This window comes from Homo sapiens, chromosome 5 (genome assembly GCF_000001405.40).
Source record: "Homo sapiens chromosome 5, GRCh38.p14 Primary Assembly".
Classification (NCBI taxonomy): Eukaryota; Metazoa; Chordata; class Mammalia; order Primates; family Hominidae; genus Homo; species Homo sapiens.
This window is the reverse complement of record NC_000005.10, coordinates 64,889,832-64,905,872: the sequence shown is the minus strand read 5'-3', so window position 1 is coordinate 64,905,872 and position 16,041 is coordinate 64,889,832. Positions and strand designations below refer to the sequence as shown.

The 16,041-nt window shown below is 35.9% G+C and overlaps 1 protein-coding gene across 3 annotated transcripts in view; it reads right to left on the bottom strand.

Moving 5' to 3' along the window:
* CWC27 (CWC27 spliceosome associated cyclophilin) overlaps positions 1 to 16,041 on the bottom strand; it is a 249,846-nt gene that overhangs the window by 112,891 nt on the left and 120,914 nt on the right. Inside the window, exon 12 of one of the 3 annotated variants that reach the window (NM_001364478.1) lies at positions 11,429 to 11,922. The exons of the other annotated variants lie outside the window; for them this stretch is intronic. Coding sequence (NP_001351407.1) covers positions 11,900 to 11,922 — 23 coding nt within the window. The 3' untranslated portion in view covers positions 11,429 to 11,899. Of the gene's footprint in view, positions 1 to 11,428; positions 11,923 to 16,041 lie in introns of those variants that run through there. 3 annotated transcript variants of the gene reach the window in all.

The following is a 16,041-nucleotide window of genomic DNA, read 5'->3' as shown; positions in this document are numbered from 1 at the left end:
GGCGGGGAACATCACACACCGGGGCCTGTCATGGGGTGGGAGACAGGGGGAGGCACAGCATTAGGAGAAATATCTAACATAAATGACAAGTTAATGGGTGCAGCAAACCAACATGGCACATATATACCTATGTAAGAAACCTGCATGTTGTGCACATGTACCCTAGAACTTAAAGTGTAATAATAATATAAAGAATTTCAGTGCTACATCTAGACCAATGTTCTTTAGACTTTTCATCATGTATCTTAATTTGTAAAAAAATTTTGAGCATTCACCCTCAAAAATTTGTATATTTATTCAAATTTACATAAATTATGGGCATTACTAGTCTTTATTTCTTTTGTTCTTTTCATTCAGTCTTTTATTTTCAGATTAAAAGATAAACAGAAATAGAAGTTCAGACGCTTTCTCCCTTTACTGTAATGGGTCATCTCTGTGCCATTTTGGAGACCACTGTTCTAAAAGACAGAAAGTAAAGAAACTGGCCCTGCATGGACCAGAAGCCAGAAAAGTGGGGCAGGAGGAGGTTGAAAGACTTGATCTAATGGTAAGTAACATGTTCCTATTAAGGGCATCTTAGCTTGAGTGTGGAGAAGGTAGTAATCATGAAGCCTGGCCAGGAAAGAAAAGATATGCATTCATTAGGTGTTTTTTTTTTTTTTTTTTTTTTTTGAGATGTAGTGTGGCTCTGTCGCCCAGGCTGGAGTGCAGTGGTGCAATCTCGGCTCACTGCAACCTCTGCATCACAGGTTCAAGCAATTATCCTGCCTCAGCCTCCTGAGTAGCTGGGACTACAGGCATGCACCACCATGCCCGGCTAACTTTTGTATTTTTAGTAGAGATGGGGTTTCACCATGTTGGCCAGGCTGGCCTCAAACTCCTGACCTCAGGTGATCCACCTGCCTTGGCCTCCCAAAGTGCTGGGATTACAGGCATGAGCCACTGTGCCTGGCCCATATTTATTAGCAGTTTAAAGGGCATACAGAGCTGTTCTAGTATCTCGAGGTTGCATATAGGTAGGTCTTACAATTAAATTCCTATGAGCTGAAAGATATCTTAGGAAGTCATCTATTCCAATCCTTATCTGAGTCATGGTTGCATTCAGTGTGTTTATCAGTCCGTTTTGGAACTCTGGGTTGCTATCTGTGGTAGTTAAAGTATGTCTACAGTTTCTTTGAAGGGATTCAAAAGATGAAGACTAACTCTCCTTCCCTTGAATGTGGGCTAGACTTAGTGACATGTGTCACTTTACAGAATAGTTAATAGCAGGCATTGTAGCTTTCTCATGCCTCTTCTCCCCACCATACCAAAGGAATCACTTGTTCTGGGGAACCCAGATACCATATCATAAGGATATGAAAGCAGCACTATGGAGAGGTGCATATGGTAAGGAACCGAGGCTTCCTGTCAGCCATGAGAATGAGTCATCTTAGTAGATTCTCTACTTAAATCAAGTCTTCAGATTTATATAGCCTTGGTCAACATTTTGCCTACAGCCTCATAAGTTGCAAAACTTCTCAGCTAAGTTGTTCCGAATTCCTGATCCATAGAAACTATGAAAAACTTAATGTTTTTTTAAGCCTGTTAATTTTGGAGTCACTTGTTATGCAGCAATAGGTAACTAATACAGAATTTTGGTATCCAGGTGTGGGGTGCTGACCTAAAGAAAAACCTAAAATATGTAAATGGTTTGAAACCTTGTAGTGGGCAGAAGCTGGAAGGATTTGGAAGAATTTGTTAATGAAAACTTGGAGAGTCTTAAACTGTTTGTAGAAGCATGGTGGTCTTTGAGGAGACTGCTCATGAAGGCTTAAAGCAAAGTGAATGCACAAGGATGTTCACTGTATAGCATTATTCATAATAGCCAAGAGGTGGAAAAAACTCACATGTCCTTCAAGTGATGAAGTAGATAAACAAAATGTGTTATATGCATACAATGGAATATTATTTGGTGATAAAGGAACTAAGTGCTGATACTTGATACAATGTGGATAAACTCTGAAAACATTAAGGCAGGTAAAAGAAGTCAGTCACAAAAAAATTAATGCACGATATTAATAATGGGTGAAACTGTGAGGGGCGTCAGAAAGGACGGTATGTGGGAACTCTATGCTTAATTTTTCTATAGGTCTAAACTCCTCTAAAAGTCTATCAATTTCTTTTTTTATTTTTATTTTTTATTTTATTTTAAGTTCTAGGGTACATGTGCAGAACATGCAGGTTTGTTACATAGATATACATGTGGCCATTGTGGTTTCCTGCACCTATCAATACATCATCTAGGTTTTAAGCCCCGTATGCATTAGGTAGTTGTCCTAATGCTCTCCCTCCCCTTGCCCCGATCCCCCAACAGGCCCCTGTGTGTGATGTTCCCCTCCCTGTGTCCATGTGTTCTCATTGTTCAACTCCCACTTATGAGTGAGAACATGTAGCGTTTGGTTTTCTGTTCCTGTGTTAGTTTGCTGAGAATGATGGTTTCCAGCTTCATCCATGTCCTTGCAAAGGACATGAACTGATTATTTTTTTATGGCTGCATAGTATTCCATGGTGTATATGTGCCACATTTACTTTATCCAGTGTGTCACTGATGGGCATTTGGGTTGGTTGCAAGTCTTTGCTATTGTAAATAGTGCTGCAATAAACATACGTGTGCATGTGTCTTTATAGTAGAATGATTTATAATCCTTTGGGTATATACCCCGTAATGGGATTGCTGGGTCAAATGGTATTTCCGGTTCTAGATCCTTGAGGAATTGCCACACTGTCTTTCACAATGGCTGAACTAATTTACACTCCCACCAACAGTGTAAAAGTGTTCCTATTTCTCCACATCCTCACCATCATTTGTTGTTTCCTGACTAAGTCTATCAATTACGAAAGACAATACCATTTATGGTAGCATAAAAATGTAAAATACTTATGAAGAAATCTGACAAATATATACAAGACCTCTACATTGAAAACTACAAAACAGTGCTCAGGGAAATTAAAGATGACCTTAATAAATGGAAAGATGTAACACACTCATGGGTGGTACTACCCAATAGTAGTAAGATGTCAATTTTCTTCAAATTGATTTATATATTCAATGCAATCCCAATCAAAATTCTAGCAGGCTTTTTTTTCGTAGAAATTGATTAGTTGATCCTAAAATTCACATGGACATGCATATGACGTAGAACAGACAAAACAACTTTGAAAAATGTGGGAGGACTTACACTTGACTTCAAGACTTATAAAACCATAGTGATCAAGATACTAGTATTCCTGTAAACATAGATAAATAGATGAATGGGACAGAATAGACCCATATATAATATATAGAATAAACCCATGTATATATGGGCAATTCATTTTCAACAAAAGTTGAAGGGCAATTCAGTAGGGAAAGGATTGTCTTTTCAACAAATGGTCTAGAACAAACAGCCATCAATATGGAAATATGTGTACTTCGATCCATACTTTGCACTACAGTCATGCCCTATTTAACAATGTTTCAGTAACTAATGGACTGCAAACACAAAGGTGGTGTCATAAGATTAATTATAATGGAGCTGAAAAATTCCTATCACCTGGTGACACTGTAGCCATGATAATTTCGTAGAGCAACACATTACTCATGCATTTGTAGTTATGCTGGTGTAAACAAATCTACACTGCCAGTTTTATAAAAGTATAGCACATACAATTATGTACAGTACATAATACTTGATAATAACAATAAATGACTATATGTTTATTATCCTATATTTTTATTGTTATTTTAGAGTGTACTCCTACCTATAAAAAGAAAATTTTAATTGTAAAATAGCCTCAGACAGGTCCGTATGGAGGTATTCCAGAAGAAGGCATTGTTATCATAGGAGATGACAGCTTCATACATGTTATTGCCCCTGAAGACCCATCAGTGGAACAAGATGTGGAAGTGGAAGACAGTTATATTGATGATCTTGACCCTGTGTTGGCTTAGGCTTTTGTGTGATTTTGTCTTCTTTTTAAGTAAAAAACTTCAAAAGGAAAAAGAAGAATTTAAAAGTAGAAAAAAGCTTATAGAATAAAGATATAAAGAAAATATTTTTGAATATTTTTGTACAGTTGTATAATGTATTTGTGTTTTAAGCTACGTGTGATTACAAAACAGTCAAGTTAAAAATTAAAAAGTTCATAAAGTAAAAAAGTTACAGTAAGCCGAAGTTGTTATTAAAGAGAGAAAAAAATTTAAATACATTCAGTGCAGCCTAAATGCACAGTATTTATAAATCCTACAGCAGTGTAATGTCCTAGGCCTTCATATTAACTCACCACTCACTCCCTGACTCACTTAGAGTGACTTCCAGTCCTGTGAGCTCCATTCATGATAAGTGCCTATACAGGTATACCACTTTTTATCTTTTATACCTTTTTTTTTTTTTTTTGAGATGGAGTCTCGCTCTGTCACCCAGGCTGGAGTGTAGTGGTGCCATCTCGGCTCACTGCAAGTTCCACCTCCCGGGTTCACGCCATTCTGCCTCAGCTTCCCAAGTAGCTGGGACTACAGGCACCTGCCACCACACCCGGCTAATTTTTTGTATTTTTAGTAGAGACGGGGTTTCACTGTGTTAGCCAGGATGGTCTCCATCTCTTTTATACCGTATTTTTACTGTACCTTTTCTATGTTTAGATATGTTTAAATACACAAATACTTACCTGTGTATTACAATCGCCTGCAATGTTCAGTACAGTAATATGCTATACAGGATTATAGCCTAGGAACAATAGCCTATACCAGGGGTATCCAATCTTTTGGCTTCCCTGGGTCACGCTGGAAGAATTGTCTTGGGCCATACATAAAATATGCTAACACTAATGATAGCTGATGAGCTAAAAAAAAAAAATCACAAAAAAGTCTCATAATGTTTTAAGAAGGTTTATGAATTTGTGTTGGGGCACATTCAGAGCTGTCCTGGGCCACATGTGGCCCACTGGCCACAGATTGGACAAGCTTGGGCCACACCATATAGCCTAGGTGTATAGTAAACTATACTATCTAGTTTTGAGTAAGCTTTGTGTAAGAACACTCACATGGTGTTTACACAACGATAAAATCACCTAGCAACACATTTCGCAGACTGTATCCCCATTGTTAAGGGATATGTGACTGTATATATAAACATTAAGTCAAAGTGAATCAAATCTTAATGTAAAATCTTAAAACTACAAAATTTCTAAAAAAAAAACACATAGAAGATCTTTTTGAGTTTGAGTCAGGCAAAGATTTCTTAGAACCAATAACTAGATTCAAAAATGAACAAAGTTAATAAGTTAGACTTTCCCAAAATTTAAGTTTTGTTTTTTGAAAGACACCATTAAGAGGACAAAAAATATAAGCCACCGTTTGAGAGAAATATTTACAAATCATATATCTGATAAAGGATTTGTATCCAAAGAATATAAAGAAGTCTAAAAATTCAATAGTAAATAACAAACAACACAATAAAAAATGGATAAAAAGAGTTGAATATATACTGCACCAAAGAATATATACGGATGACAAATAAGCACATGAAACAATGCTCAACATCATTATTAATTAAATGTAAATCAAAACCACAAAGTAACACTGCAAACTATTAGAATGGCTAAAATTAGAAAGTGACCACACGAAGTGTTAACAAGGATATGGAGTTAACAGGATAGTTTATGCACTACTTGTAGGATGTACAATGGCACAACCAGTTTGGAAAACAGTTTGGCAGTTTTCAAAAAGTTGAACATACACCTATCACATGACTTAGCCATTCCACTTCCAGACATTTGCTCAAGCAAAATAATAGCATATGGTTATAAAATACTTGTGGTATATCTATATAATGGAATACTACTTAGCAATAAAAGGAACAAACTACTGATATATACAACATGGATAAATCTGAAAATGCATATGTTGATTGAAAGAAGTCAGACAAAAAAGTACATAGAGAATATGATTTCATTTAAATAAGATTTAGAAAATACAACTATTTTATAGTGATAGAAGACTTTAGTGGTTGCCAGGGGATCAGAGAGGGGGTTAACAAGGGGCATGAGAACATGTTGGGCCTTGAAGGACATGTTCATTATCTAGATTGTGGTGATGTTTTCACAGGTATAGACATACGTCAAAACATGTCAAACAGTTCACTTTAAATTATTCTTCAATAAAGCTATTACAAATGTTTTCGTTTCTGTTCAAAAGTTTTGTTTGTGGATTCTGTCTTTTGACTGGGCCCTTTCTGGTACATACCACCAAATTACATTGTCCTGTTTCATAATATGTTCATAGCTCTTATCTGAAACTTTGCCCATTATTTAAATGTGCATCTGTGCTCTTCGTGTTGTCATAGATTCATACTCAAAAAATTGTCTTTTTCATTGTTATTCTTTTTTTCCTTAGTTTACAAATAATGTGATTATTCACTTAAGCAAAAGCCAGTTTCATTCATTACTTCAGCAAATGTTTGTTGAATGCTTATTATTTTGCCCATTACTATGCAAAGTATTAGGCATATAGAGATGAATCTATGGCTCCTGCTCTGCCAGGCACCTTTCCAACTACTGTTATACTTATTGCCCTTCATTTTGCAGTGGAATTTTATTCATCTCTCAAAACATAGCTCAGATACTTGGTCAAGCTTTTCCTGACCCAATGGACTACCGCCTATTTGGTTCTTCCTAGGATTTTGTTCATATTATATAACAGAATCTAGTAATTTTCTCCCTGAATTCAGTCATCCCTTTTACCTTTTAGTAAAGGAATCAACCCCATATATCTCCCATCCTTGATATTTAGTTAGCCAGCCACTTGGACACTCAACTGGAGACTTTATTTCTCAGCCTTTTTTACAGCTAGGTATGGCCATGTGATTTCAGTATAATATGATAAGAGTGAAAGTGCTTTTGTGCAACTTTTGGGTCATCTCCTCAAAGATGAAGTCACCAGTCTGGTACTTGCTCTTTCCTCTTCCCCGTTGCTGGAATATAGGCATGGAGGTGGGTCGGGTTGAATCATGCAGACAATGATAACACCTCAGAAGATGCCAAAAAGACAAAAATGAAAAAAACTTGGGTCCTTAAATACCTGCTGGTCCTGAAGTGCTCACCCTGAATTGTTCTGCATGAGAGAAATAATCCTCAATCTTATTTAAACATGGCATTTTTTGAGTCTTTATCCATCTGCTTGCCTCTCTCTCCCTCTTTCTTTTTTAACAGCAACTTCTTTTGTAGCTAATAAAACTAGCACTATCAATAGAAATTTCACTAATGACACTCCTTGTACGTAGCAACTAGATCTTGCTTTCTCTGCATTAGAAGGACATCTGGGAAAAAACAAGTGACAAATGTCTGATACAACAAAGTCAAATCAATTTTCTGGCTATCTACTATGTGCAAGTTTTAAGAAGTTATACTTCTGGTCATTTTAACTATTGTAACCCAGTTCTAAAAACTGTTTTCTATTTTACTGATTTCTGCTCTTTATTCCTTTCTTCCTTCTACTTCATTGGGCTAATTTTGCCTGCGTTTTGTATTTTTTTTTTAAGGCTTCTTTACGTGGGGAACTTCTATAGTAATTTCCTGAAATACTAGCATCTAATGCAATAACTGCTTATAAGTACTGCTATGGCTGCATTAACATACTTGGAAATCAGTAACTCTAATTCCTAACAACTGCATTGTGTCAGAAGATGTAGTCTGAAAACAATCCTCTGAAAATTTTCTTTCTTTATGGTCCATTATGTGGCCACTTTCTATAAATGTTTCAAGAGAGCTAGAAAATAATATGTATTCTGAAGCAATATTCCCTTTTGTACATTATATCAAACTTGTTAATTGTGTGGTTCAAATGTTCTACATTCTTATTAAATTTTTACATGTTTGTTTAATCAGTTACTGAGAGAATGTATTAAAATCTCTCACTATAATGGAATTGCTTACTTATTCTAGGTCTATCAGTTTTTGCTTCATAGATTTTGAGTTTATGTTATTAGGTCTATGCAAGTTAGGGATTATTACATTTTCCTGGTAAACTGAAGTTTCTGTGTTATGTGGAGATTCTAGGCCTAGTAATACATTTTGCCTTAACGATTTGATTGTCCAATTTTTTTTATTATTATACTTTAAGTTCTAGGGTACATGTGCACAATGTGCAGGTTTGTTACATAGGTAACAAACTATGTATGTGCCATGTTGGTTTGCTGCACCCATCAACTTGTCATTTACATTAGGTATTTCTCCTAATGCTATCCCTCCCCTTATCCCCCATCTCTGACCGACCCTGGTGTGTGATGTTCCCTGTTCTCTGCCCTGTGTCCATGTGTTCTCATTGTCCAACTCCCACCTATGAGTGAGAACATGCGGTGTTTGGTTTTCTGTCCTTGTGACAGTTTGCTAAGAATGATGGTTTCCAGCTTCATCCATGTCCCTGCAAAGGACATGAACTCATCCTTTTTTATAGCTGCATAGTATTCCATGGTGTATATGTGCCACATTTTCTTAATCCATTCTATCATTGACGGACATTTGGGTAGGTTCCAAGTCTTTGCTATTGTGAGTAGTGCTGCAATAAACATACGTGTGCATGTGTCTTTATAGTAGCATGATTTATAATCTTTCGGGTATATGCCCAGTAATGGGATCAGTGGGTCAAATGGTATTTCTACTTCTAGATTCTCACTCTGTCACCTAGGCTGGAGCAATCTTGGCTCATTGCAACCTCTGCCTCCCGGGTTCTAGCAATTCTCCTCAGCTTCCCCAGTAGCTAGGATTACAGGTGCACACTGCCACACCTGGCTAATTTTTTTGTATTTTAGTAGAAATGAGTTATCACTGTGTTTCCGAGGCTGGTATTGAACTCCTGAGCTGAGGCAATCCACCCACCTCAGCCTCCCAAAGTGCTAGGATTACAGGTATGAGCCACCGTGCGCGGCTTGATTGTCCAATATTTTGAAGATGTTTCTCACATAAGTTGCATTGAATTTCTTTTTTGGCCCAGTTTGACAAACGTAGTTTTTTAGGCGAAGTATTAGACTTTTTGTGTTATTTCAATACAACTATTGATACAGCTGCATTTTATTTCTCCTATCTCTCATGCCATCTTTTTTCTTTTTTTTAAAAAATATCCTGCCAGTCCATGTTTATTTTTCTTTCCTTTCTTATCCCCTTTGGGTTGATTTTTTTTTTTCCTAATTCCATCTTTTTCTCTACTGGTTTGGAAGTTAAGACCCTTCCTTATCCTGTTAGTAGTTTCCCTAAAAATTTTAAAATGTATAATTAATGTCTTAAAAACCACAGTTTATCTTGTGTCTTTACCTTCTTCCCAAACAATAAAAGGGCCGTAGAATGCTTTTCCGAGCACCCTTTACCTGCTCACCAAAGTTATATACTATGTTGTTATGTATTTTTAATTTTACCTTTATTATTCAACATAAGACATTATCATTGTTTTATTCCTTCAATATTTATTTAGATTTATTCATATATTTACCACTTTCCATGTTCCTAACTCTTTGTATTATAGGTCTTACATCTGGGCTCACCTAACTTTTGCCATAAGTATATCCTTTAGAATTTCCTTTGGTGAAGGTCCACAGGTAGCAATGTTTTTCAGCTTTTGTTTGTCTGAAGGACACTTCCCTCAGTCCATTGAAAATAAGATTCTGCCTTATGTCCTCACCTGTTGCTGTTGAGAAATCAGCTCTTGCTTTTTTAATGGTAATATCTTTTCCGACTGCTTTTAAGATCTCTTTGTGTTGAATGCTCTGATGTATTATCATAATGCATCTAGGACTGAATTTATTTTTCTTTATCCTCTTTTAGTTTTGGGGAGACTTCATTCTGTAAAATCGATCTTTTCATTAGTTATATAAAACACTCAGTATCATCTCTCTAAATATTGCCTCTATTTGCCCTTTGGTCTCCTCCTAGAATTTGATTAAACATTTATTAGATCTTCCAGGTTTCCAATCTGTTTTTGGGCTGAGTTCTACATGATTTTTTAATGCTATCTTTCAAGTCACTAATGTTCATTTTAGCTGTGGCAAATTGCTATAAAATATATCAAGTTTTTAATGTTAACTATTATATTTTTCATTTCTATATCTTCTTTGTTTTTAAATCACGTGTTCTTTATATTTTCAAGCCTATCATTTCTTGAAATATATTACACACACTTACTTAACATTTAGTGTCTGAATAAAATCTGAACTTTTTGTGGATCTCATTCTGTTGTCTGATGTTTCTACTAGCTTTTGGTCAGGATGTCTGAATTCAGTGCATATGTGTCTTCTGAGCTGTTCTTTTTCTTTTTATACTTTCCTTGAGGACTGGGATGAAAGTAGGATTCTCCAGGAAAAATTTATGTTTGTTTGTATCAGGCTTCTACAGGCACTTAAGATCAAGGGCCATTTCCAACTAAATTCTTTTATTGTTTGTTATTCCACACAAAATTGTTCATAATTGTCAAAACTTGAAAGTGACCATGATGTCCCTCAAATTTTTTCTTATATGAATTTTCTGTGTTCTGGTCCTTTTTTTTTTTCTGTTAGGTTGTTGGTCTTTTATTACAGATTTAAAGCAGTTTTTCACATATCATATGCTATAGATGCTGTTCATATTTTTCTCTGATGCATAAGGAGACTGTTACATTGTATAGGGTGTTCACATATTATCTGTGAACACATATTGCTCATATTTTTCTCCAAGACTATCATTGCAACTAAATTCTTGGCTGGAAGATTTGGAGACCACTCAGGCAGTGTGAATTTAGACTCCTAACTGATGGGAGGGCTGCCTTGTTGCTAGAGTTCCCAAGAGATGCTCTTGCTCCCAAATATTTTGTGCCATGATTCAAGATAGGTAATTTCCCTTGTAGCCCACTGATGGAAATGAGGTGACCCTGCTTATTTCTAATTATTCCTGCCACTAAGGATGTGTTCCTTTGGGCCCTCAACTACACAGAATAGTCTTGTTAGACCCTCGCTACCTTGGGAAAACCTTAAGTTTTACATAATCTTCCATGAACTTTGTGAGATTTCAAAAAGCAATGTTCCAGTTCACTCAATTTAACAAATGTCCTTAGGGTTAAAGCCTGACCTAGTGCTCCACTAACTTATCTTAGTTCATACCTTTACTTATTCCCTGGTTTAAGTATTCCTTGCATTTTTGCAAGTCATAGGAACATATCAAAAGATATTTTTGTATTATATCCAACATTTTTCGTTGTTTTTAGTGAGGGGATCAGTTTGGACTCCTAGGCTGCCATAGTGACAGAAATTGATGTGTTCCATTACATAATAATCTTTTGTCATTCATTCCCAAATCACATGTGTAATCTTTAAAAAGGTGTAGATTTATGATAATAATGTGCTCTCCAAAAGACTCTAAGTTTGCCTAGGGGGGTTTTAGAAACAATTAGTCTAGCCAAAACCAAAGTAGATTTTAATAAATACCAATTAAAACTTTATATAGACTACATCCACTCAAGGTTGGATCACATTGAAAAACAAGTAGTATAAAGGGCACTGGACACAAATCTAAGGGTCCTGAGTTCTAGTTCTATTACTTTGCTCTGTAATATTGGGTAAGCACCTTAACTGGCAAGCTCTAGGTTTCCTTTATATATAAAATGGAGGGGCCAGGCGCGGTGGCTCACATCTATAATCCCAGCACTTTGGGAGGCTAAGGCGGGTGGATCACGAGGTCTGGAGTTCGAGACCAGCCTGGTCAACATGGTGAAACCCCGTCTCTACTAAAAATACAAAAAATAGCTGGGTATGGTGGCGGGCTCCTGTAATTCCAGCTACTCGGGAGGCTGAGGTAGGAGAATCGTTTGAACCTGGGAGGAGGAAGTTGCAGTGAGTGGAGATCGTGCCACTGCACTCAAGCCTCAGCAACAGGGCGAGATTCCATCTAGGAAAAAAAAAAAAAAAAGGAGGGATTGGCCCAGATGATCCCTTCAGGACTGTGATTATTGCACAGAAGTAACAAATATAAATAGAGCACACGCAAGATCAGAGTTTCTAATGAGTAAGACGTTCGTTAAGGCTAGCTTACTTTCACATTTTAACATACTGCAGCATAATGTTTTAAACAAACTTACATTCTGGCGTGGCCATAGTCTTCTTTAAAAAACCTAAAATATTTTTGTATATCAAAATAGGTTCTCAATGATTTCTCAGTATTTGGGCATCTTGTTAGTTTTCTGAGAACTTCAGTATTCCTTTTGTTCTTTCTGGCATTGTTTAATGTAGCTATTAATATAATTTAGGGATTATCTGAGTTTTGTGTGAAAAAATACTAATACTCAAAAGCTGCAACTGTACCATCTGCCTGGAGTTTATGTGCAGAATTTGAAAATATAATCATTAAAAACTATCAGCTATTGCATTAATCATTTTTTAAAAATCAACCTGATACCATGCAGATTAAACTGTACAAAGTAAGGTTTAATGCAACATATTCACAGGTTTACACTATAAAGTTGTGAAAAGAATATCTTTCCCAAATTTGATTAAGTGCTGCAAGATGTTGAAGAAACTCAGCACTCGAATGAATTATATGTTTGATGTCATTTTTGGCAAAACCTCAGAAAATGTCACATAAAAGGAAAACATCTTACTTAAAATAAGGTCTTGACAGCAGTCTGGAAAAGTTAACAACTCCATTCCCAAATGGGAACACTGGTTATAATCAAACTTTTAATGATGATATTAGTTCCTCTCTGGAGACAATCTAAATATCCAAACAAAACAAAACAATAAAACACGTGTGTGTGCGCATGCACACGTGCATATGTGCGCACACACATACACATACCCTTCACCTCTTCTACTTTCCAAGAGTGGACAAATTTGTAATTATTTCAATGTAGGCTCCAAATACCTAACCTGAATGTAATCTTTCCTTGCAGAATTTTTAGTGGCCAGCTGAGAAAGAGGTAACAGACTACAACATGAGCTCAGGATTTATTTTAATGACTTTTTAAATGATTTTTTTTTTTTTTAAAGAACGAGAGATAAAGAATTCTCATCAGCAATGGAAATGTAGTCCCTGGCTATCATTGCTCCCACATAGTCTAAACCCCAGAGCTGAAATAGTGGGAATTTTTCATGTCTCAACTGCATTTGTACGGTCTTTACATCCATCATCCTCTATATCTCACGTTGTGTGATGTAAGATAATTAAGAAGACATACTCCTAAAGCAAGTTGCCCCCTTAAGAATTCTTGGTCAATTTCAATATAAACATTCTTTTAAAAAGGAATATTATAAACAAAATTATAACAAAATGACATTATGGGGAAAAAAACACGTGTGTTTATAGCATGAAAAGAAACAAATCCAGAAAAAATAAATATCACAAAGTTAACTGGTTATCTTTGGCGAAGTATTATGGGGTAATCTTTCTTTTTAACCTTTATGCCTTTCTACATTTCTGATATTTTTGCAAAGAATAAATGTTACTTTTATAATGTAAGAAATACAGCTTTTTTTTTTAAATAAAGAGACAGTAATGACCCCCAACTAATATTTACCTGTATGAATTAAGCAATCTATTTTTACTGGGTCAGGAATGACACAGATATTAGTAATAGGAGGACAAATTGCAGTTACTAAAAATATAGCTAAAGGCTCTTGTCAAATTCTCAACATTGAAATTACAACCACCAGGCCAGAAAGAAAGGTTATTAGAAAACTGTGTTAAGACAGCAAAGGGATGCAGAGAGATATCCTAAATACATTGGTTCTTAATAAGAGTAGCAACAGAGCTGGGAGTGGTGGCTCATGCCTGTAATCCCAGCACTTCGGGAGGCTGAGGCAGCCGGATCACCTAAGGTCAGGAGTTCAACACCAGCCTGGCCAACAGGGCAAAACCCCGTCTCTACTAAAAATAAAAAAGTCAGCCAGGTGTGGCGGTGCGTGCCTGTAATTCCAGCTACTCAGGAGGCTGAGGCAAGAGAATTGCTTGAACCCGGGAGGTGGAGGTTGCAGTGAGCTGAGATCGCACCACTGCACTCCAACCTGGGAGACAGAGAGAGACTCTGTAACAACAACAACAACAACAACAACAACAACAACAACAACAACAAAGTATCCCAAGCAACACTAGGAGGTCTGCAAGATGACCCAGAATTTAAGACATAAAAATATGTGAATTGGTTAGAATTTATTTTTTATTGCTCATAAAAATTAAATATGCCTATAATGTAGGGTTCACAAAGTAAAGCTCAACAAGATTCGCTAATTATGACTTGGAAGAAAGTTTGAGATAGATTGTCTAAAAAAGAAGAAAGTACTTTATGGACTCTTAAAGATGATCATCTCTTACTTTACCAAAAGATTAAATTCTTCATGTAATTGTGAGGGTATGTACATCTTCATATTTGCTACAGACCTTTAAAAATCTTTACTATTTAAGAAATTATATTATTGAAAGATATCTTGTTTAAAATATTGCATGGTTTCTAGCACTTAAAGGTAGTAAGGGGTTCAAGAAAATTTCAGTTGAGAGGCCGACTGCCCTAGCTACAGAATAAAGCTCTATTTTTCCAGGACTTTCAGGAAATGAGGTATTCCACACAACTGAATAGTCTAGATAAGAGAACTTTATCTTTAATTGATTAAAATGATTAATTTTTTTAACTAATTAGGTTGGAATCATTGCCCATTCTCTATCTTATTAAAGAATAATAAATACAATTTAAACTTCTCTTAATGAATCAGGCCCATTACAATAGGTAGGGATAACTTTATCTTTTAAAGATATACACATTCAGAGTAAAGTATGTTTAACAAGTATTTCCATAATATTTGACTCTTATGTTCTTGTGTTTCCTGACCTAGTGTCAGCTGGTTGGCGATCACCTCTTGCTGCTACCAAAATGAATGAATGTCTCTAGCCATGCTTTTCTCTCACACTTAAAAAAAATTTGTTGTTAGCCCAATAAAATACTGGGCTAGAAAGGTCCACAGGTCAGTGCCTTTTCTGGCTTCTCTTTTGCTTGTTTATTTATTTATTAAATTATTGAGATATACTTCACTTTCCATAAAATTCACCCTTTTAGAGTATACGCTCCCTCACTTTTATACTTTAATTGGTTTTTAGCTTAGAAAACCAGATAATCAATTTATTAGTGGCTATGCCCAAAGTAAGAAGAACTAGAAAATGATGGCTGGCCTGAGATGCATCCAATGAGTCAAGTGCAAATATACTTTCACTTTATGTAAATAAAGTAAAAATTAGCACATAGATTAAGAGTAGACTACGAAGAAAAATAGGTCTGATACTTCTGGGTTCCAAGAAAAAAAAAATAACTCAACAGTACCTAAAGAAAGTTAACTGCTTTGGAAAAGAGAACCAGTTTGCTCAATAAGAAAATTTTACATGGTATTAAGTAGAACACAGAGCTAACACTCAAAGAGGGTTTTTGTTTCTTATACCAACTAAGACCAAGCTAGTTTAATACTATATATTACCCAGATGAAAAGTACTCAAAAACTATATACTTTCACAACCTATCAAGCCTGAGGGACTCTAGTCTGATTTGATCCAGTATTAAAAAGATAGTCTGAAGAAATGTGAAATAACCCAGTGCAACTTGAGAGGTACTAGGCACCTCAGGGATATGTTTCATGAAAAGGCTTTAAAATTTTTTCTTGATTTACAAGCTCAGCCTGACCCTTCTCCTCTAATTTCTGGCACCAGTCATAGAGCAGGAATTGTCTGCTTAGAACTTTGAAAGAGGACCTAACACCTTATCTCTTTAAAGCTGATTAGAGAATATGTCCAAACCTGTCATCTCTATGTGACTATGTTCAGTTTGGTACTGGTTTTGATATGAAACTTAAAGAAATCTGGAAAAGACTTAGAGACATGATTTAATGAAAAGGATTATATAGTTTATTAAAGAACCTGACAGAGCCAAGACAGGAAACCAACTCTATCTCCAATTAACCATCAATCTTATTCAAAATTTATTATCCTCCCACCCCCCACAACAACCTTATGCACAGGCCTTGATGATTTACA